Here is a 20,834-nt window from a genome sequence, read left to right on the forward strand (position 1 = left end):
CGTGGGAGCCATCCCTGGAGAGACCCTCCCTGCTGTCCCCAGGCAGCCCCTGGAGGCCCAGATGAGACTATCCGCTTTGGCTGCAGGGCTTGACGGGCCTGCCTCAGATGAGCTTTGGGGAGTGAAAGTGGCTGCCTGGGACCCTGGGCGCCTGGTGTTTACCTAGAAATTGTGCTAATCCCGCTAATTCCTGTGATTTACACAGCCTCTTGGCTCTGTGTACTATCTTCTTCTCCGGGAAGTGGTGGGAAGGCGAGGCCACGGATGCAGTGGGCACTGCCTGGAATCCCCCCGCTGCATCTGCTCCCCACAGGCGTTCACGAAACCTCAGGTGCATCTGTGTGCACATCCTCTCCCTGAGCCACAGTCTGGGAGCTGGGCATCTGAATAAATGCCCCTCCTCCCTCACTACATTCACCCTGTTTCTGGAGCGACCACGCCCTGAGGTGTCAGGAGGCATTTTGGCTGGAGGATCTGACTGTAGGCCTGGCCCCGTGCCTTCCTGGGGAGTGGCCTTGGGCAGCTCACTCCCCATGGGGGCCTCAGCTTCCTCCCCTATAAGAACTGGTGATGACATCTGCTGTGCTGAAGTGAATAGGTGGGGTTGCCATGAGGAAGCCGCAGCTGCTGTGTTTTGGGTCCGTTCTTCACGGATGGAGCCTTCTAGTTACCAGCTTGAGCTGGGCCTGGCTGTGGGAATGCTGTGCTGAAGAGCTCCTGGCCTGAAGGTGATGAATGTAATACGGGGGTGTTGAGTAGGACATGATCTGACTGCTTCAGGGCTGCAATCATGGGCTAGGAGGGGAAGTGGGGCTTCCTGGAGGAGGTGACGTCTGAGTGGCATCTTGAGAGTAAGAGTTCATCAGACACAGAAAGGTGAAGGGTTTCCAGTGAGTGGCATAGCTTGGGCAGAGGCCTGGCTGTGTGCAAGGGCAGAGCCAGTTATCCCTGTTAGGAGGGTCAGGCAGCCAGGGAGCTGGTAGGGAGAGGAGGCTTTAGGTAGACATGGGAAGACTTTACCTGAAGGCCAAGGGGCTCAGCAGGGGAGGGATGGAGTGATATGTGGTTTCTGGGAAGATGCCTGGCTGAAGCACAGGGAATTACCTGGAGTGGACCAGAGGTGTGAAAAGTGCCAAGACCCAGAGGGGAAAGAGTGCCTGGCACAGAGCAGCCAGCGGGAGAGGCAGTGCTGGTGAGGCGTGCGAGTGCTGGGGGGTGTGGGGTGAAGTGATGGGGCTCACAGTCTTCGTGTGTGTGGCGAGGAGAGGAGGAAGGTGTCTTAAGGATGCAGCTCAGGTGGCTGGTGTGGTGGTGCCTGTGACCAGGTAAGGGGCAGAGGAACAGCAGGCACGAACCAGTGTATAGTGCTAGTAGGCCATTCAGATAGCCAGACTCTTAAGGGGCGGATTTTAAAGTGGGCTTAAAAGAGCAGGCAGCAATCCCTGAATTTCTAGGCCAAAAGGAGGCCCCTGACTCACCAGCAAGCAGATTTTTCTCTCCCCCATCTGCCTGACTTTCTTGGGCTTTCTGGGCAGGGAGTTTTGAAAGACTGTGGAAACTGGCCAGGCTGGTGTGTGCAGATGAGCCAGGAGCTGACAGGAGCTGTGGACATCCTTCATGTGGCCCCTCCATTGTTCTTGTGTACTCATTTTTTTCTACTTAAAAAGATGTGGGAGTATTGTGTGGATTTAAAAAATAAAATTCTAGGCCGAGTGTGGTAGTGTGCACCTGTAGTCCCAGCTGAGGTGAGAGGATCCCTTGAGCCCAGGAGTTTGAGGCTGCAGTGAGCTTTGATTGTGCCACTGCACTCCAGCCTGGGTGACAGGAGAGACCCTGTCTCTTAAAAAAGAAAAATTCTTGGCTGGGCTCGTTGGCTCACGCCTGCAGTCCTAGCACTTTGGGAGGCCAAGGCAGGTGGATCACTTGAGGTCAGGAGTTCAAGACCAGCCTGGCCAACATAGTGAAACCCTGTCTCTACTAAAAAATACAAAAATTAGCCGAGTGTGATGGCGCATGCCTGTAATCCCAGCTACTCAGGAGGCTGAGGCAGGAGAATCTTTTGAATCTGGGTGGTGGAGGTTGCAGTGAGCTGAGGTCACACCACTGCACTCCAGCCTGGGTGACAGAGTGAGACTCTATCTAAAATAAAAAAATGAAAAAAAAAAAAACAACATAAAACAGAAAAGTTATAGGGCCTACTAATGTGGATTTAGCTGAGGGCCCCGGGAGTGGAGCTGACCACTGGTGTCTGCACACTGCGACCCCCGTCCCCACACTCTCTGCAGGACCTTCACACAGCTGCCCATAACCTTTCTGCCCCACTCCTCCAGGTGTCCAGCCAAAAATGCCAGCTATCTTCCCCACCACCTTCTTTAAAACATGTGACCGGCCAGGTGCGGTGGCTCACGCCTGTAATCCCAGCACTTTAGGAGGCCAAGGCGGGCAGATCACCTGAGGTCAGGAGTTTGAGACCAGCCTGACCAACATGGAGAAACCCTGTCTCTACTAAAAATACAAAATTAGCCGGGCGTGGTGGCTCATGCCTGTAATCCCAGCTACTCAGGATTGCAGGAGAATCACTTGAACCTGGGAGGCAGAGGTTGCGGTGAGCCAAGATCGCGCCATTGCACTCCAGCCTGGGCAACAAGAGTGAGACTCCAGCTCAAAAACAAACAAACAAACAAACAAACAAAAACAAAAAACAAACATGTGACCATCAGATTTATCTTCTGATAGAAAGGCTGGATTGCCAGTGTCTGCTCTGACCCACCACTCAGCTGGAGACGGAAGTTGCCCATGCCCCGAATCCCGCTGGGTGTTCCTCCCTTGCTCACAGCCACTTTCCATCCCTCCTTATCTAGTCTGTAGCCTGGTCTGTTGGCTCTGCCTTCAAACCATGTCCATGTTTCACCAGCTCCACCGCCACCTGCTTAACCCAAACCACCATTGTCTCTCCCTGGGTCACTGCAGTAGCCTCCTCTCCCCGAAAAGCCTGCTCTCCGCACACAGCAATGGAGTGACCCTTTTACACCCGGAGTCAGTCCTGCCCCTCCCCTGCTCAAGACCCTCTGATGCCTGCACTTCCCTTCTGGCCACTACTCAAAGAAGCCAGCCTCCTCCCACAAGGCCCCTGGCTCCTGGCTTTGCCCTCTGACTGCAGTGGGGTGGCCCCTCAGGCATCCCATCCCTACCCCAGAGAGGCCTGGCAGCGCTGCCCCGCTGTGCCCCTGCAACCCTCTCTGTCCTGCTTTCTTTTCCTGAGCCACCTCCCACTCACTGAGATTAAATCTACATTTATTTTCCCCTTGTTTGCCCCCAAGGAGAATGTAAACTCCACATATTGTATCTTCCGCACCAGGCATGATGCCTGATGCATACTAGGGGCTTAAAAATATGTTGACTGAGTGCGTGTGAGTCAATAAAGGATGAACATTTATTGAATGAATGGGTGAAGGAGTGAGCGAACATGCAGATGAATAAGTGAAAGGTTCTGGTGAGCAGGGAAGCCACCTGAAAATGAGGGCCTTTCTTTGAGGACCTCTAGGTCATTGTCACTATATTTGTTTTTATTTTCCCCATGATTCACAGACAGAGGTCATTGTTTCTGACTTTATTTCCCTCATCAGAGGCTACCCGCCACTCATATCAGTAGGAACCTGTTACTTAGATTTTGTAAAATCTGGGTAAAAGATGATGAGAATGGCCTGCAGTTGTCCGTGAGGTCGTTCAGAAGACCAGACGAATCCCAGGACTAATAATTCTCAAAATTAATTAAACCCTCCTTCCCAATTATAAGAGAATTAGAATGAAGTTGGTTGCTTTAGGAGCGAGCGGCGGTGTGAATCTGGGTCGGCGTTTCCCGGCTGGGTTTGGGCTCAGTGTTGGTGAGTGTCTTTGTCTTCTCTTTTAGGATTGCCACCCAGGACGATGAGCGGCTGAGATGGAGACGTCTGCCTCAGCCACTGCCTCCGAGAAGCAAGAAGCCAAAAGTGGGATCCTGGAGGCCGCTGGCTTCCCCGACCCGGGTAAAAAGGCCTCTCCTTTGGTGGTGGCTGCAGCGGCAGCAGCAGCGGTAGCTGCCCAAGGAGGTACTTTCTGTTTCGCACACTTGGAGGGCAGCAGGGGTGTTTTTCATTAGCCCGTTAGGATTTAATTAGAGTGGTGGCCCATGTCGTCAGGGAGGCATGCTGGGTTTATGGAGGGCGAAGAGGAAGGCACCTCTGCTCCCAGGAATCCCAGGCACCATGAAGGTCACCTGTGAGTTTGCTAAGAGGTCTGGCCACCCCAAGTCCAGGGGGCTGAGCTGCCTCAGACAGCGGTGGGTGGGGCCTGAGTACTGGGAGGGGAGAGAGGGAGGAGGGGAGAGAGGGAGGAGGGGCATGGTCGCTGCCAGGCAGCCCTGGGGTGCGTGCAGCTGGCACATTTGAAATGTGCCCAGAGAACTTCTTGCCTCTTGCCCGCCAAGGACTGTTTTGGAAAGTAATTGTCTCCTGATGCCTTCTGGCTCTAATTAGAGGGTCAGGTTCGGGATTTACTATCTTAGGTGAATTTTTGGCCAACTTAATTATAACAAAAGAGACTACACGAGCCACAGCCTCTCATTTTACTGCCCCAAAGAGAAAGACTCTCTGGTTTCTACTGGGCCATCCGTGCCAGCATCCCGTTGGGAAAGTTTGGCGGGAAGGCGAGACCTCCGCTGTGTCTGCACAGTCCATCTGGAGGCCACAGAACTATTTCTGTCTCGGAGGAATGGAGAGACTTCGATTTCTTTTCCTCCCTTTTTGTTCCAGTGCATTTAGTCAGGCCCTGTTGCTCTCAGGGCTGAGGCACAGCTCAGAGAGCAGGCAGGGAAGAGAATGCGCCTTTTCTTCCGGCGGGCGCTTGGGCAGCGCCCCTCACACTTTGATGTATACACAGTTGTTGGGGGCTTGTTTTGGTGGAGACCCCGATTCAATTAAGTTGGGGCAGGGCTGGCTGAGTTTCTGCATTTCTGTTGGGTGCCAAGATGATGCTGGGGCTGCTGGTTCACAGGCCACGCTGGGGCCGGAGCCCAGGAACATGGAAAGACCCTCGGAGGGGCTTAGGAGTTGGTGCTTCTACGAGTGGACCTGAGGGCCTGCGGGGGGTTGTTACTGTATTTACTTTTATTTTTCCTGCGGTTCTAAGTGGGAGGTCATTATTGGGATGTGTGGCTCATGTCAGGAAAGGGAGATCTGAGGTCAACCTTCAGGCCCCTTGGGGAGGTGGCCTTCTGAGCTGGACGATGCCTCTCCACCCTGTGCCCCTTGGACGGGGACTCTCTAGGCCCTCCCTCTGTGAGGAGGGGCCAGCTGGGGGTGGAGGAAGAGCTCTTAGGTGGAGTGGGAGGAGCCAAGCGCACAGGGAGGGAAGAGCTGGTGGAGCGGCCCTGGTCCTGGGGCCACACATGGTCTTTTCCTTCCCCTGGGTCAGGGCCATCCTTGGCCTGTGGGGGCACCTAAAGCTGCCCCTCTGCCCATGCTCTGAGGCCTTGTGAGCTCCAGGAAGCCTGGCCTCTGTGTATGTCTGGCCTGCCCCAGGGTTTTCAGCGGGAACCATCCCCCCATCCCTCCGCCCCACACCCTGCCTCTCCAAGCCATGAGTGGATCATGAACCACCATGGTGCAATTTCCTGATGTGTCACATTAGTAGAGGACAGACTTAGGCAGTAATTAGACAGTAATTAGAATGTAATTGCCGGGGAGCCCCTCTAGTGTCAGGCTGAGTTCTCATTATTGGTGCAATAGCAACAGATGCTTGAGGGATTCTCAATCTGTGGCGGGAGTAGGGGCCAGGCAGGAGGCCCAAAGTTTGGAGTACAGCACCTCCACAAAGGCCCTCACCTCCCAACCCCACCCCACTGCAGCACACCCTTTCCTGCCCACCCCGCAGGCCCTTGTTGTCTGATCGCAGGGTGGCTTGGCTGGTGAGGTTCCAGCGGAGGGTGGACCCAGCCTTCGTGAGCATAGTTGCCACAGGGCAGGTGGCCTGTTAGCTTCAGAGCAGTCTTGGGCCATGTGTCTGCTGCTGGAGAGTTGTGAGGACCCCAGAGCCTCCTCACCCATCGCTGCTCCCTGCACCTGTCTCTGAGCAGCTTTTTTTGGGAAGGGTCCTCCTGGAGTCAGGGGAGAGCAGCTGTCCCTGCGTGGCGCAAAGCAGGGACATCGTGGGCCAAGTCTCCTAGTGCTGGTAAAATGCGACGGCTGCATTCGTGGATGGGATGGGAGGTGCGCTGGCCTGGGTCCCAGTTTTCCTAATCTGTGTCGAGAGTGGATTTGACAGGTGTTGTCCACAGTCTTTATGATCTTGGAACTTCGGGTCTTCCTTAAATGTTACTGGATGGTGGCAGAGGTGCATGAGCAAGAATCCTCATGTATTCAGCAACCCTGAGTCCCCCAGAAGGCTCCAAAGAGCCATGGATGTGGGCCTCACTGCCTGCGGGAGTACAGACCTGTCAGCAGGTGAGGAGAATGTGCGGAAGGAGGTGCCTGGAAGCTGCAGGTGGTTGGCGTGGGTCCCCCTCAGGGGCGGGGATGCTCTTGTGTTCATCTCTAGGTCTCAGCATCTGGTGCTGGGCCTGGCATGAGGGGTACCCAAGGGTCTTCTGGGACTGGAATGGTGTAGGAGAAAGGGTGGCATTGGTGAAGGAGGAAGTCTTCATGGGCCAGAAGCGTTTGCTGCAGCCACTGAGGAGTTGGGCACTCAGCCATCAGGCACAGGGCTGGGTGTGGACAGTGGGTGAGGAGGGGCCGTGAGGGACTGTACCAAGCCTGGGAGAGGGACAGTGCCGCAGGGTGCACCCCGGGTGGATGCAAGGGTGTGGGGAGCTGAGAATTTTTGTTGAGGGGCCCCTCTTCTCGAGTTGTTTCTGGCAAAGACGAATCATCTTGGTCTGGGCGACTGCTCTGAGGCCTGTTTGCTGGGGGCAGGAGCAGACTGAGTCGACTCCCCTGTTGCTGCGCAGGTGACCACTTAGAAGCCTGGCTCCTCTGAGGCCTGGCTTGTTCCTCCAAATCCCGTGACATTGTCCCCCATGGTTCACACCCTGATTTGCTGTCTGGCGGAAAGGGATGATTTATTATTATTATTATTATTTTATTTTTTATTTTTATTTATTTATTTTTTTGAGACAGTCTTCACTTTGTCACACAGGCTGGAGTGCAGTGGCACGATCTCAGCTCACTGCCAGCTCCGCCTCCCAGGTTCACGCCATTCTCCTGCCTCAGCCTCCCAGTAGCTGGGACTACAGGCACCCGCCACCACACCTGGCTAATTTTTTTGTATTTTTTAGTAGAGATGGGGTTTCACTGTGTTAGCCAGGATGGTCTCAATCTCCTGACCTCATGATCCGCCCGCCTCAGCCTCCCAAAGTGCCGGGATTACAGGTGTGAGCCACCGCACCCGGCCGAAAGGGATGACTTATACGAGCTTAGTGTTTCCTGACTTATTACACATCAGAGAAGGTGTGGGGTGGGTGGGTCTTATCTGAGGATGTCAGGGGCGCAGTGGTGAGGAAACAGCCAAATCCTGCAAGCTGTCAGGGGCTGTTTCCTGGCATCTGTAAGGTATCCAGATGTGGGGGCACCCTGCATTCCCCGGCAGCTCATGGCCCCTCATGCAGCCTCCCCCACCCCTCACTGTCACCAGTTCCGAGAGCTTCCATTCCACGGCTAGAATTGCATGGCTTGAGTTGGTTGAAACAGTACACATACCTGCAGGCAGAAGGATTTCACTTTTTTGTTTGTTTGCTTGTTTTTTGAGACAGAGTCTCACTCTGTCGCCCAGGCTAGAGTGCAGTGGCATGATCTCAGCTCACTGCAACCTCTGCCTCCTGGGTTCAAGCCATTCTCCTGCTTCAGCCTTCTGAGTAGCTGGGATTACAGGTGCCCACCACCATGCCCGGCTAATTTTTGTATTTTTAGTAGAGATGGGGTTTCACCATGTTAGCCAGGCTGGTCTCGAATTCCTGACCTCAAGTGATCCGCCTGCCCTGGCCTCCCAAAGTGCTGGGATTACAGGCGTGAGCCACCTTGGGATTTCACTTCTGAGTTCTTTATATCTGTGAAAAATTGAAAACAGCCTACCTGTTCATTGATAGGGGATTGGTTCATCTGTGGAACATCTTGAATGGAACACGATGTAGCCACTGAAAATGTTAATTAAGACTTTTCAATTACAGGGTGGGAACATGCTTGTATTCTAATATTAAGTGGGATAAAAAGAAGGTGCAATTGATCTCAAGCACCCCTAGCAATGAGATAGAAAGTGAAGGTTCAGAGTGAGGAGAGAGGACATGAAGGGGGTGGGAGGCCCCAGCCGGAAAGCTCGGAAAACCCAGGCAGGAGCTCCTGGATGCCAGGCTGGTGTGGTCAGAGCCTCTCCTTCAGTACCTCCCGTATTGTAGATGAGACTGAGGCCCATTTGGGCATGGGGCTTGCCCAAGGCTACCAGCTGCTTCAACCACGAGCTGGGCCCGGGGCTTGGGGCTCCTGCCTCTCACATGGTGAGAGTCTCTTTCAGGTATTTGCTTTTAGATTGTTATTTAGATTGCTGTTAGACTTGGGCCTTAATTTAGGTCCTACTGCTACCCCAGGGTGAGTGTCCAGCCTTGGTAAGGTCTCCTCATGTGTCTTCATGCCTCAGTTCCCTCATCCATCCCAGGCCCTGATGGCACCTGCTCTCTTCCAAACAGCCAGTTATTTGAGGTCTGGGGCCGTGAGTTATTTGCAAAGTCACCTACCTCGACTGGCCTCTGTTGCCTGACTTCCCCTAGGAGTCCATGAGGTCGGACCTGTTGGGGGCTGGGTGTTTCCACTTAGAGTCACTATTTCCCTGTGCCAGAATATGCGTGAGAAATATATTTGCAGAGCAGAGCATGGCTGGGCTGGACCGAGCTGGACCAAAGGAAAAAGCAGCCCTGTGGTCAGACTGGGGAAAGGTTAGTTTAATCATCTGGCTGGAGCAGTTCATAAGAGCAGACGGCAGAAGCCTGGGAGGGCGAGTTCTTTCCCAGTCTCTTTTGCTGTTGTGCTAACACTTTGGAGGCCATAAATCTTTTAAAACACATTTTGGCCCAGAGGTTTTCCCCTCCTTTAACTTCTAAAATGGTGTAATTTTAAAAGCAATTTGATTCAGATGTTTCTCATTGCTTTATACTGAAACTGTCCAAATGCTGTTGTATTTTCCTCCTCCACTGTGGGTTCTCTTTCAAAAATATTTCTGAACCTCTCTGTGTGCCTCACTGAGCACCAGGGACTACTATTCAGAGCCTCTGGGATAATATGAAAGGTGGAGCCATGAAACCCAGAGCTGGGTCTGATCTCATGAGTTTTGCTAGTTTCTGGAATCAAGCAGCCAGACAGGCTTTAGACATCCTGGGATGTACCTGCAATGGCCAACGCCCACCTCTTCCACGAAGCATCCACTGTGTGCTGGGCCAGGTGTCCTCCCAGTGTGGGCCGCACCAGCAACATCAGCATCCCCTGGGAATTGTTAGAAATGCTAATTCTTGAGCCCCACCTTAGACCTACTGAATCTGAGTCTGTGGGGGTAGAGCCCAGCAAGCTGTGTTTACACAAACCCTCTTGGTGATTCTGATACACTCCTAAGTTGGAGAACCGCATGTTCTGACTACATGAGGTAGGGTGGGTCTTCCCATACATAAAATGGGAGTTAGACACAGAGCTGCAGTGCAGAGATTACAGGAGACTTCTGATGTGCTTACACAGGCCTGCCAGGGCACTTCCTGGATAGTAGCTGTAACACTGCCTCTCTTAGTGCAGGCAGTGCTAAGGAAGTAGTGAGAAGCAGCCCAGGCTCTGGAACCAGGCTGCCTGGTTAAGTCCCAGTTCTGTTGACCTTAGGCAGGTCCGTGCCTCACTTTTCTCATCTATAAAATGGGCATGATCTTGGTTGTGAGCATTCCTTGAGTTAGCACATGGGAAGTGCTTCGAAAAGTGTTGGGCACAGAGGGCCTTGTGTGAGGTCCAAGTTGAGTATTTGCTTTATGAACTATTGCTATTCTTCCTACCAGTTTTCCTTTTCTAGATCTGCATACTCTGCCTGACTTAGAAAGTTTCCCTTTCACTGGTAACCCTTGCCTGCTGACCCGTTGAGGCTGACAGCAGGTGGGAAACCCAGGTTTCTGGTGACTTCCTACTTGAGAGTGGTGGGTGCCCTGGGCTGGAAATCAGACCTGGGTGCCTGTCCCACTTTGCTTTGCTCCCAGGGCCTGTCCTGGGTGTCTGTCCCGAGTGGGCTCCTGGCCTCTCTGACTTGGTCTTTTCCCCAGCACGCTGGAGACCAGACCAGACCAAAGGTTACTAAAGCTGGCCAAGCCTTAGACTCTCGTGACAATCACTATGTAAGTGCAGGGTCCAGGGCAGCCCCTGGGCTGGGGCCTGGGCATATGTATTTTTAATACGCTTCACAGGTCATTGGGCGCAGTCCGTCCAAGGCATGAACAAGATCCCTTGGAGTATTCAAGAGTCTCAGGGGGGGAGACTACGGTTTGCAGCTGGTAGTACTGGCGGGGCTGTGACCAGGCTAGCATAGCTAGGGTCAAGCACTAGACGACTTTCAGCAGAGCGCTCCAGTGTTCCAGGAGGCGTGTGTGCTACCTACTCATACTGACAGCCCTCCTATCTTCTTCATTGGCCCTGCTGGGTTCTTGGAAAGTTTTTCTGAGGCACAGTTTTGCTTAGTGGCGAGGCATGCATGTCTATATGGGAATGCTGTGCAAATAGCAGAATATTTAGACGACTCATTTTCATTGTGTTGGCCAGAGCTAGAAAATCCCCTCCCACCACCTGCCTTACCACACCTAGGAATCTGTCCAATACCCCTCCATTGGTACGTACCTCCAAGTCCCTGGTGTCTTTGCACTCTGTCTTTTTCTGTGCCTCCAGGATGTCCTTGTGGGCAGGGCATTGCTTGTTCACCACTGTCCCCACATCCCCGCTTGCAGCAGACATCCCATAGGGGATTATGGAATCTGATGCTATCATGCCAGAGGTGTTCCCGGTGGGCTGGTGTGGTCAGCTGTCTCTGGGTATAAGGGTCAGTTGAGGCTGGCCGTGGTCTTTGGCCCCCCTGCCAGGCCCCATGGCCAGCAGGGAGCTGAGTGGGCCACCTTCCCTGGCTTATCCGAGTTTCTCTGCTGGGGCCACACACTTTTGCCTTGGACCTGATGCACCCAGGTGTGACTAAGTGGGCAATTACTCTTATTTAAGTGATTTTCAGGACGGCTGTTGATGCTGCTGGGCTTGTTTTATGGCCCAGCCATCCAGAACAACCAGTTCCCCTCAGACTTTGTCCAGAGAGCAGAGCTGAGTTCCCCTGACAGCCTGGTTCACCCAGGAAGCGGGGTGCAGGCTGACCACCCAGATGTTTTTCAGATGGTTCAGGAGTGTACTGCAAGGTTGGACGCCTGGGGCGGGAGCATGAGGTTGGAGACTTCTTCCTGCTCCCAGCAGAGTCTAGTGGGAAGAGCATGGCTTGGGGTCAGGCAGATCTGGGCTCTTCTTACCCTCTGCTTACCAGCCGTGTCTTCTGGGCAAATCAAGGAACTTCTCTGAGATTCGTGCAGTGGCGATGGTAGTGGTCACTACTTCTGGCTACCATGGAACTAAGCGAGACAAGGTCTGCAGGGTGGCTAGCAGAGCATGTGGGCACGGAGGAAGTAAATGTCCACATAACGGAAACCCGAGCATTCCTCTGGCCTGTCCTGGCCTCACACTCACTGCCACTCAGAACGGCTGCCGTCCAGAATCAGCCTGGCCGCCCCATTTCCCCAAGCACAACAGGTTTGTTCTCTGCTTCTGGCCGCAGCCCGGGGTCTGGACTCTGGGAGGCTCTCCTGGCCCCTGCCTGTCGCTCCCCTTGGTTGCAGAGACCGGCACACATGTTTCACGTCACCTCTGTGTCACCTTGTTTTCTGGCTGGTTCCTATAAGCTGGTGAACCCTACCTGCCTGGAATGACAGTGTCAGAGGACAGTGCCGGTGGCTCCTGCCCCTGTGTGCTCCCTGGGGCCTTGGCCATGCCTGGCCGGCACTCCTTCATTTCTCACGGTTCACTGTGAATGTTCAGCTGATGCAGAGTTGGGTGAAGCTTCAAAGTCATTTCCACTTACAGAACTGGAAGAAGCTTTTGAAATCCTCTAGTTTGAATCCATTCATTTTACAGATGTGGAAACTGAGGTCCAGAGACACAAAATGCAGAGGGTTGCCTAGTGATATTACTTGGACTGGAAACCAATTCCGCAGGAACATTCCATCACATGGGACACAGCTGTCCCTCAACCTGGCCCTCCTCCTGGCCCAAACCCCAACTTCCCAAGTGACTGTGTTTATGTTGGAAACATTTTTCTGACGTTTGGTTCTGTCAAAACTAATTTTAGCATTTCTAAAGCTTGGTAAAAATACAGCCTCATTACTTTGATGTCAGTGCATAGTTTACTATTAGTATATTCTGGGGTTTATCATTTTAGTCATGTTTAACACGGCTGTGCCAGGCATGCACTATTAAATCTGGCTTATTTTACATTCCTGTCCGGAATTATTTATTTGTAACAATTTCCTCTCTATCAAAAGACACAGCTAATGCTGTGTTTTAATGTGTTATTTACACACAAAATAACCTATTTACAACTCAGTATGCGCCGGAGGGAGAATGGATGGGCCCCTGTTTCCTGCATTCTGTTATATCAGAGTTTAACAATCTGGATTGCTAATAGAACCATTTATCATTACTTGGGAGGGGGGGAAAGAGATAATTTATTTTATGTTTGTGGCCAGGTCTCACCGCCTCTGATCTTGGGACCATTTTGAGGATAATGAAGTGAAGCCCTGCATTTGGTGGGGGCTGTGGGGCACCCGGGCCTGGGTGCCTCTGGGTTCCCTGCATTCATGTGCACATCCTACAGATGGTCCCGAACTGTGGACCAGAGAGGTGGTGATGACAGGGACGTTGCCTCTGCCTTCTAGGAGCTTCCAGTTAGAGGTGACACTCAGCAGATGGTGACGAATCCTGCCCATAGGGCTTCACGGGGGAGGCAGTGTCTGAGCCTGGGGACATTCGGGGTTCCACCAGGTGGAAAGAGGAAAGGGTGGGTGGGCCCTGGTGGGAGGAGGAGGGGCAGAGTGGCCCCCTGGGAGTGTGGGGAGGGAGGACTGGGCGCCATCAGCTCAGTCTGTATGTCTCCTGCGTGAGTCCATATGTCTCCTGCCTGGCATATGGGGTCTGAAGGACAAGGCTCCTGTTGCCCTGCGGGGAGGCGCAGAGATGGCTGGCACCCAGGTGGGTGCATAGCTGATCCAGGGTGCAGGCCGAGGTCCCGGAGGCTCCACTGAAGTCTCTTTGAATGGACATTGAGGGGTAAGGAGGGAAAGCGCCATTTGAAGCTGCTGTCCTCTATGAAGCTCTGTGTGGACACCAGAGGGGGATAGGAAGTGGGGGAAGATGCATTTAAGAAGCAGGGGCCATGGCCCTGTCCCCAAAAGCTTGTGGTTCCCCCATGGAGAAACCAGACACCCCAGTTACGATGCTGATGTGGGCATTGTCTGCTGCCTGCAGTGATCCAGGAAAACATTAGGGAAGGAGTGTGGTCTCAGTAGGACCTGGTAACACTGCTGTGTACAGCCCTGTGACCTGGCTGCTCAGTCAGTCCCACAGAAAGCCACTGTGCACTCAGATCAGGGGGCTGGGGAGGGGGTCACCAAAGTGTGATTGCAAAGTGTGGCAGGGCTTGGGCAAGCCCCCTGGGGACGATGCAGGGAGCCATCAGCCCCAGGACACCAGCATGGTCTGGGGGATGGGGCCTGGGCTTGGACAGGTGAGGTTTGAACCCTTGCCCTGCCCCTTCTCGGTTGGGTATCCTGTGCTGATCCGAACCCCAGTGTCCTCATTTTAAACGCAGGCCAAAATGCGTATCTTTGGAGGGCTAGGCTGACCAATAATGAGACTCCAGTGCTTAGAGGGTCCCTGGCACACAGTTGGCATTCTGTACATGGTAGTTCAGCTGTTAGTATTATGGTTCTTGCTCTTATTATGATTCTTAATTCAAGAACTGTTTTCTGAGGGTAGCGCATACGTTCCTTAAAAATATTTGAGAGAGCAAATGAAGGAGCTGAGTCTCTATAATGAGTTAGCAGTTCACCCGTGATGTGCAAGGAGGAACCACACTCTAGCCTGAGAAACAGCATGGGCAAAGGTCCTGGGGTCTGAGAATGGCTGGAGAGGCTGAGCTGAGCGGGAAGCACTGGCAAATGAGGCTGGTTTTGTCAGCCCCTTGGCAAAGGGCTCCCTTCCCTCCCCGATCCTGGCACAAGCTCACATCTGAGGCCGAGTCTAGTGGCCCCTCCTAGGGTCTGTGTCCTCCCTCTGCTCACAGCCACACGTGGACGCTGGTAACTCAGCCAGGCCCTGTGTGCACGGCTTGCTTGGACCACCCCCCCACACACCTCCCCGCCCCCGCCACCCTGAGCATCTGGCTTCTTCTCCTTCTGGGTGGGCAGGGTGGGGAGGGAGCCAGAGGGGCTCTGTCTTGAGAAGCCGCCCTTGGCTCTTTCCCCTTGAATATGTCCTGGCTGGCCCTGCTGTCAGAGGGCGTGGACCTCTGCTTTGTGTTTTGGGGGATTGTGAAGCTTGAAACCCTGGCACCAGACAGCCAGGCCTCTGGGCAGAGCAGGGCCTCATCCGCCGTCTGACTTTCCATCTCGTTTTCAGCAGTGATATTTGAGAGGAAGTTTGGGTTTGGTATGGAGCCGGGCAGTGGACACCGCTTTGCACCTTCTATTATCCCTGCAATTCTAGAAATGGAAGGACGTCCAGGAGAAGCCCCTTGCAGGGCCAAGCATGTGGTCTCTGTGTGGTGTGATGGTGGCCAGGGTGGGGAAGTCCCTGCCCCCGCCGAGTGCTGCAATCCCACCATTAGGTGTTTACCCCCTTGCTGTCACCTTACCTCTGGGTTTGTGCAAAGGCCCCTGTTGTCCATCATCCTCCTGTGACCTCTCCCCAGTGGCTCCTGGATCAGCTGGAGAGGGCCAGGCTTCTGAGCACTGGAGTACCTGTGCCTGGGGAAGCTCACCCAGGAGAGAAGAGGGTCAGGGAGGGAAGAAAAACTTGCCAACGACACACTTTGCTGACTGGGTGAGTTGCTGAGGCTCGATGTCAGCGAGATCTTTGTCCTGTTGCCAGTCCCCAGACTGTGAGGTTTCCACGCTGGAGTCAATGGCCCTCTACGCCATGTTGGTGACAAGAAAAGCAACAGGCACCTTCACTTAGAGGACAGACAAGTGTGAGTTCACATCTAGGTGTAGGAGCAGGGGCCACCCTTGCCTTGTCTGTCTGTGAAATGGGGGTGACAAGGCTCCCCTCAGCCAACTCTGTAGTGCAGGGTGGCCTGGCATGTGGGCAGCGGGCTGCTGTTGTTATTCTCATGGGATAGTGGCAACCCTTGCCTGAAAGCACCTGAGGCCGTTTGTGTCTTCAGTGGCTCGGGCACTGTGGAGCTTCCCAGCTGCCCATAGTTCTCAGCAGCGCCCACATGCCTGGCCCCCTGGGTTTTCTAGCTCCAGGTCATCAGGGAGGGAGGACCCACCAGTTCCACTCTTCAAGAACTACCTCCGATAATTGAAAACCTATGTGCACACAAAACTTTGTATATGGGTGTTTATAGCAATGTTAGTTACGATAGTCCCAAAATGGAAATGACCCAAGCATCCATCCGCTAATGAATGGATGAGCAGAACGTGGTATGTATGTACAATGGAATATTACTGAGTCATAAAAAGGAGTGAAGTGCTAATCAATGGTATACACAAATGAACCTCGCAAACATATGCTAAGAGAAAGAAGCCGGGCATAAAAGCACAAATATTGTAGGATTCCATTCCCATGAATTGTCTAGAATGACAAATCCATAGAGACAGAAGGGAGATGAGGAGGTGCCAGGGGCTGGGAGAAGAGGGAATGGGGAATGATTGCTATGGGCTTGGGGTTTCTTTTTGGAGGGATGAAAATGTTCTGTAATTAGATAGTGGTGATGGTTGCAACAGCTCTGTGAATGTACTAAAAACCACTGAATTGTGGACTTTACAAGGGTGCATTTTATGGTATGTGAATTACATCTCTGTTTAAAAAAGAAGGGAGGGAGGAGAAAGAAAGGATAGAAGGAAGGAAAAGAGGAAGGAAGTGCGGGGGAGGGAGGGCGCCTGTGGCGGCATGGGGGCCTGGTCGTGCTGCTGCTCACAGCCCCTGGGATCTCCAAGTGCCTTGTGCACCGCTACCCCTCAGGGAGGACCCTGCTTCCCCTGGCCAATGAGCAGCCTTCCCATCTAATCTATAGGCCCCAGAAGCTCTAAAAATAACTGAAGTGGAAGGGGGATGTTTAATGACAAAGTAAATAATTACATTAAGGGTGCGAGTTTGGAGGGGAGCTGAGTAAATCACCGAGAAAGAGCACCAGCCTCCAGCTAACTTCCACTCCTTTATCACCAGATTACATCCTCCTTGGAACCTGAATCATTGACTGTGGCTGGTGGCAGGCTCTGCAGTGGTGGGGGCTGCGGTCAGGCAGGTGCTGAGAGAGATGCCCTGTGAGCATTTCAGGGTGACCCTGCTGGCCCCAACTCCAGGTGGATGAGCCCCAGGGGCGGGGGCCCTGTGCTGCTGGAAATTAACTACTCTGCTGGGGGGAGCCAGGTCTCAGGGATGGCCTCACAGCCTTGCTGCCCACAGCTGGAGGGGGCCAGGCTTCTGAGCCAGAGTGGCTTCAGGGGCCATTTGGTCCATTGAGGTCCAAGGAGGGGGATGGTCTTGCCAGTGCTACGCGGTGAGTATCTACCAGATCTTGGTAGGGAGATTTCTGGGAGTGGTGTTCCCAGTCCAGGTGTGCTGGGCCGTCTTCTGTGTTGAGAGCAACATCTGCAGTGGGCAAGCCCCAGACAGACTATAGCCCTCGGAAGTGGCAGCGTTCACCAGCTTTGGCATGGTGTGGGCTGGGGCTGTCTGGCACACCTGCCCACCTCCCCTGTCCTGGCCTGGAGCCCTCATTTAGTCCCTTCCATTGCTGTCCCTCCTCCCTCTACCTCATGGCCTCATCCTGTCCTCAGGGAGGCCCAGCCAACAGCCTCTCTCCTCTCCCTGGCCCTGTGCTACCCCTCAGGATATAGAGGATGGGCAGGCTCCCAGGCTTATGGGATGTGCTAATAGGGGCGCTTGGAAGGGATGAGGATACAGGGAGACAGCAGTGCCTTGGCCTGAAGGGACAGATCTTCTCGATAGAAACTGAGTTAGGACACTTGCTGCAAGCAACAGAAGCCCGCTCTGGCTCTCTGAAGCTACGTGGCGTTCTGGTCCTCCGTAACTCAGAAGTTCAGGGTTAGATTTGCTTTTAGGACTAGCTAAGCTTGAGGCTCCAGTGACGTCACTGGGACATGTCTCTTTCTGTCCGTGATCTCGATTGGCTTTCCGCTGGCCTGGCATTCTGATAGCTCTGATCACCAGAGGGTGGAGTTGCTGATGTGTGCCTGATACCCATGAGCTCAGATGGAGGAGTGTCTCATTCCGGGTGATTCCAGGAAAAGCCCTGGGGGCAACTTATTGGCTAGGCCTGGGTCCCATGCACCCTTGTGAACCATCCACTGTGACCGAGCCATGTAGTATTTTGTGGGGTCCCATGCATACCTGTGCAAAGTGGGGTGGGTCAGCCCCCTTATCTGCTGGAGCTGTGCGTAGAAGGGTGGCCCATGTGCTGCTGGTCAAGCCAAATACCAGTGTCCGCCTCCCTGAAGCCAGATGGCAGGAGGAGTGGGCAGGAGACCCGGAGAGGCCTGGGCACCTGTAGACATCCACTGGTGGATGGTGGGGTCAGAGTTGGGCCCTTCAGAAGCAGCAAGGAGTCCTCTGGTCATTCTATCCCCCCAGCCTCATTCTTTGGGTTGTACCAGGGGTGCTGTCCCCCTCCCCTACTTGTCCTTTTGAGCTCCCCATAAGGGTACACAAAGTGCTCCCTGAGAAGTGCCAGACCAGAGCCTTGGAGAGGAAATGCTAGAAAGTTCCAGGGGTGGCATCGCTAAGGAGGGCTCCTTAAAGAATGAGAGAGCTACTGGGAAGGTGGAGGTGAGCAGAGGCTCAACGAGGGGTGGATGACAGGGCACATGCCAGGGCAGGGAGCAGCGCCTGCTGGAGAGGAGGCTTCATACTAGGGGTAGGAGGAGAGGTGCAGTTGGAAAGGGAGGTTGGAATCACTGTGGGGAGCCTGGGATGCCCTGAGAGGAATTTGGATGGAGGGGTAGTAGGGAGCCATTGAAGGGCTTTGAGCAGGGGAGGGGCATTTAGAATCAGCACATCTCTTTGCTGATTGATTTGAAGCATTCCATACCCACAAATGAAATCCTGCTGGACAGCTCTGCTTTTCAGAAGATTCTTTTTCCTCCCTCCCTCCCTCCTTCCCTCCCTCTTTCCTTCTCTTCCTTTTTTCCACAAGTGTTTACTGGGGCCCTACTATGCGCCGGGCAGTGTAGTCCCTGGGTGGCAGCAGCGAACACACAGGCAAGGTCCACTTCTCTGGAACTGACATTCTAGTTGGGAGACACAGGCAAGTACCCAAATCAATGACTGTGCGGAACAGGATGTAAGATGGGTATTCTGGCAGGGAGAGATGGGGGATCGGCGGCCTCAGCCTTCCTTGAGACAGGAACACTTTTCCCAGGGTTGTTGAAGCCACTGTCTCTCTCAAATGTGCTGGTTAGGGCGCAATAGAAAACCACTTCCTCTGCTGTGGGAGGAGAAGAAACTCATCCCGAAGCCAGCTGCAGGCTGAAGAGCGGGTTCAGGTCACCCCTGTACAGCAGGACAGGGCCACACACACATGTCGCGGCCCGGTCCCCTCACTGCGTTGGGAGTCCGGTGTCCCCAGGAGCCGCTGGATGGGCCCTTGTGCAGGCAGATGCCCTGGGTCCTGGCCCCACTTGTGGGAGCTGTGGCGGTTCCCGTGCATCCTTGTCTTTCACGGGGGAATGATGAGGACTTCCCTCCTAGGGCCGTGGTCAGGGCTGAAGCTGAGACGCAGGCCGGATTACGATCCACAGGGTCATCCTCACAGGGGTTTTCGAAGGACTGACCGTGCTGCCACCATGGGGGACCTGAGGCCCTTCTTTCCATCACTGGGGTCATGACTCCCAGAGTGGCCTTCTGGGGGCATGTCTGGCCTCTCCCTACCCTCACACCCTGGCGTGTCATGGTGGAACCCATGGTCTCTGTCTGGGGACATCACCTTTCCTAGTCATTCAGGCTGCCGGGGAGCCCCTTTCTCCTGTTGCCGTCCTTGGCATGCGGGCTCTGACCTCTCTTTTCCTGGAACTTTTTCTCCTGGGCTGTGTTTTTCAGGTCTCTGAACCTCTGGTGCTGGCCCAGGTGAGTGCCCCCTCCAATCCTGCCAGTGTGTGAGCTCTGTTCTCCCTCTTCCACATGGGGGATGCTTCACAGCAGTGAGGGCGAGAGTCTTCTCTTCTTTCTGTGTGTCCCCACTGAAGAAGGCGGGGACACCTGGCCATGTTGTGGAGCCTTTCCTGGGTAGGGAAAGAGCGCTGGTCTGGGTTGGGAGATGGACCCCCAGCACTGCGAGGTCCCCAGACGATGGCTGTGAAAGGGTCCCGAAGAATTTTCAGCATGCCACACACAGGATGTAAAGTGTTGGCGCTCCTGGCCAGCGCCTGAGCACCACTAATATGGACAATGTCCTGGCAGGGCCGGGGTGGTGAAACATGCTTCTTTTGTGCATCTGTTCCCAAGGAGGAATTGGAGGCTTCTGAAGACTTAAAAACCACACCAAAACAAAATAACCAGAGAAAATGTTTCCCTGTGCTGTGGTTCTAAGAGCTGCATTGCTTTGGGGAAGAAGGGAAGGCAAGAACCCCCTTTGAAATCTTTTCCCGGAGGAGGTGGGGGATGGCGTGGGTGCCCATGGACATGCAGTCCACGTGATGGCTGCCACGTGCCCTTGAGCATCCTCATCCCAGAATGGCCCAGCTGCGCACAGAGGAACAGCCTGATCCCCTCAGCTGCGTTGAGTCTTGGGAGAGGGAGAGCCAAGCTCCAGGTGTCGATTGAAACTCTGAGTCCTGCTCGTGCAAGGACTTTGCAGCTGCGTGACTGCCCGGGGCGATGGGTGCTACCACACTTGTCTGCCAGGCCATTCTCCTGACAATGTTCTTGTACATGCAGCTGCAGCTGGCCCCAGATCCCCAGGTCCCCCACCACCACCCTGGCCCCTCACTGCTGACTTCTCCTCCATCTCTTGCCATTCTTGCATGCAGTCTTGTCCCCAAGACAAGTAGGGAAGATGGTGCCAGCCTAGTGGGCTACTTTGTCCTGAGAAGGTCATGTTCAGCTTCCCCACCATCCAAGGGAAGTCTGTGCCCCTGATTTGAGGGGAAGATGCATTTTCTAAGGTTACTTCAACTTATGGTGTCTTAGTTATCATTCTTAGAAGCAGGCTCTTAAGAGAAGGATTCTGGTATACCTGGTTTATTTGGAGTTGTAGGGAAGGGAGTGGTGAGGTGAGACGGGAGGAAAGCACCCATAAAGGGAGGCTAAGAGAGTCAGCTGCCCCCGAGAACAACTGGAGCTTCATCCCTGGGGGGACTCTGGGAGCTGGCATGGTTATCCCATCCCAGAGAAAGGAAGCAGCTCTAAACACCAATTGCTGGCAGTGCCCCACTGAGGGTTCCTTTTGCACTCCAGACCTGTTGCACAGCTGGGCAAAGTGGGCTTTGGAGACAGAAAACCCTCAGTTAACCACGGTGCTGGTGG

At 53.9% G+C, this 20,834-nt stretch overlaps 1 protein-coding gene across 5 annotated transcripts in view, besides 3 other annotated features; it reads left to right on the top strand.

The window, feature by feature from the left end:
* The window catches only part of GLI2 (GLI family zinc finger 2), a 256,786-nt gene that overhangs the window by 57,513 nt on the left and 178,439 nt on the right, over window positions 1-20,834 (top strand). For all 5 annotated transcript variants that reach the window (NM_001371271.1, NM_001374353.1, NM_001374354.1 and 2 more), the window contains exon 2: window positions 3,911-4,088. In NM_001371271.1, coding sequence (NP_001358200.1) covers window positions 3,941-4,088 — 148 coding nt within the window. In that variant the 5' untranslated portion in view covers window positions 3,911-3,940. The remainder of the gene's footprint in view (window positions 1-3,910; window positions 4,089-20,834) is intronic.
* Window positions 1,906-2,569: an enhancer, noted in NCBI's record as "H3K27ac-H3K4me1 hESC enhancer chr2:121552862-121553525 (GRCh37/hg19 assembly coordinates)". NCBI's record gives its function as "activates a minimal SCP1, AML or CMV promoter by ChIP-STARR-seq in naive H9 embryonic stem cells {active_cell/tissue: H9 hESC(naive)}" and the evidence as "EXISTENCE:reporter gene assay evidence [ECO:0000049][PMID:30033119]".
* Window positions 11,101-11,750: an enhancer, noted in NCBI's record as "H3K27ac-H3K4me1 hESC enhancer chr2:121562057-121562706 (GRCh37/hg19 assembly coordinates)". NCBI's record gives its function as "activates a minimal SCP1, AML or CMV promoter by ChIP-STARR-seq in naive H9 embryonic stem cells {active_cell/tissue: H9 hESC(naive)}" and the evidence as "EXISTENCE:reporter gene assay evidence [ECO:0000049][PMID:30033119]".
* Window positions 14,892-15,392: an enhancer, noted in NCBI's record as "H3K4me1 hESC enhancer chr2:121565847-121566347 (GRCh37/hg19 assembly coordinates)". NCBI's record gives its function as "activates a minimal SCP1, AML or CMV promoter by ChIP-STARR-seq in primed H9 embryonic stem cells {active_cell/tissue: H9 hESC(primed)}" and the evidence as "EXISTENCE:reporter gene assay evidence [ECO:0000049][PMID:30033119]".

Source organism: Homo sapiens, chromosome 2, assembly GCF_000001405.40.
Source record: "Homo sapiens chromosome 2, GRCh38.p14 Primary Assembly".
Taxonomy (NCBI): Eukaryota; Metazoa; Chordata; class Mammalia; order Primates; family Hominidae; genus Homo; species Homo sapiens.